The sequence below is a fragment of the Homo sapiens genome, chromosome 3, assembly GCF_000001405.40.
Source record: "Homo sapiens chromosome 3, GRCh38.p14 Primary Assembly".
In the NCBI taxonomy this organism is placed as follows: domain Eukaryota; kingdom Metazoa; phylum Chordata; class Mammalia; order Primates; family Hominidae; genus Homo; species Homo sapiens.
In genome coordinates, this window is record NC_000003.12 from 3,539,649 (window position 1) to 3,541,210 (window position 1,562).

Below are 1,562 nucleotides of genomic sequence, written 5' to 3' on the forward strand. Positions count from 1 at the left end.
GTGCATATACAAACAGCCATGTGACATTACTCACAGTTCTGGAAAGCAAGCTCCAGTAATGGGAGAAATGCAGCCCAGTTGACATTACATTTACTGCAGAAACCAGTGTCTCCTGGACTGAACAGTCCTCATGTGCATCAGCAAACAAATAAAAGCAAAGCTTCAGATCTCTTTAAATCGCAGTAAACGAATCATCTGGTCTTTACATTTTCAAGCGAGGAGGCGCCTTAAGCTTCCCCCAGTAAAACCTCTTTTCTATTATTATTATACTTTAAGTTTTAGGGTACATGTGCACAATGTGCAGGTAAGTTACCTATGTATACATGTGCCATGCTGGTGACTTGGTTAGATGATTTGCTTAAAGATACTCAGGAAACTAATGAGAAAATCGAAATGAGGAACCATTTTTTTTTTTTTTTCAAAATACAACTTTCTCCCAACAAACTAAATTCTTATGCCTAAGATTGCACAGGAATTCAAACGGGGTCATTCAGTTGTAAGTATTCTTGATGCACTAACTGGTGATCTCCACTGGTCTGCAAGGACTATAAGCATTCCTTTAAGATCTGCCAAGCCAACTTTTCACTGCATCACTGCCCATTTATGAACCAAAGGCTTAAACGTCCTCCCCTTATCACCCAAAATTGCTTCTCTGGCTCATTCAGGTTAATCTCCTGACTAACATCAAGATCATTTTTTTTTCTTTGTCTATCAATGTCCTGCAGAGCCAGCATTTAGGAATTTCAGGTTCTGGTCTTGGCATTGTCACTTACACTTTACATTATCCTGGACAGATTATGCGTCCTGCCTAGACTTACGTTACCTCATTTAAACACACCAATATTGGGGTCTAGTCAGGGGTTCTTTATGTGATGTCTGGTCCCTGAGTTCAGGCAGTCTATGAAAAACTGTATGTTTAATTTTGCGTGTGTACGTAGTAAGCATTATAGTATAGAAAGCATTCTTAACTTTGATTAAAGAATTTCTGGGCTATGCGATTTCTAGAGTCCACTGAAGCACTAAGATTCTACAAACTGCATTATATTATAAAGTGACATCTAAATATGTCATTCATGTCACATATATTTATCCATTTTTCTTTCCACTTGGTCTTAGGTTTATCTAAAGCCAAAGGGATCAGGAACACTTTAAAGCAACTGTCTACTAGTAACAGTTGACCAAAAAACAAACCTACAATCACTTTCTTTGTAGCCTGCCTCCACAGCTGCTGCCTCCTTGAGCTGTTACCTAATTTTCTATTGCCTAAGCCCTCAGATAATCATACTCTAATTGCCTTTCTGGATTTTTCTCTACCACCTGCTGTTGATATGAAGCTCTAGAGAGCAACGTGCTAGGAAATGGGAATACCAAAGTCAGCATCTCATCATAGTAAACTTGGGAAGCTAAAGGTCAAAGCTATATAAATTGTGCTGAAGGTCAGAGACCAATGAAGATCATAAGAACAAGAATGAATATCAAGTACATACAGCCGGGATCGGAAAGCAAGTGTGAATTCAGAGTTTGAGATGGATCATGGCAAGTGGTTCAGATTACCAACATGT

The 1,562-nt window shown here is 38.8% G+C and overlaps 1 annotated feature.

Annotated features, from left to right (window-relative positions):
- Positions 597-766: an enhancer, noted in NCBI's record as "experimental_69968 CRE fragment used in MPRA reporter constructs". NCBI's record gives its function as "activates a minimal promoter by MPRAs in K562 erythroleukemia cells, with activity observed for the non-introgressed 3:3582014 variant allele {active_cell/tissue: K562}" and the evidence as "EXISTENCE:reporter gene assay evidence [ECO:0000049][PMID:34662402]".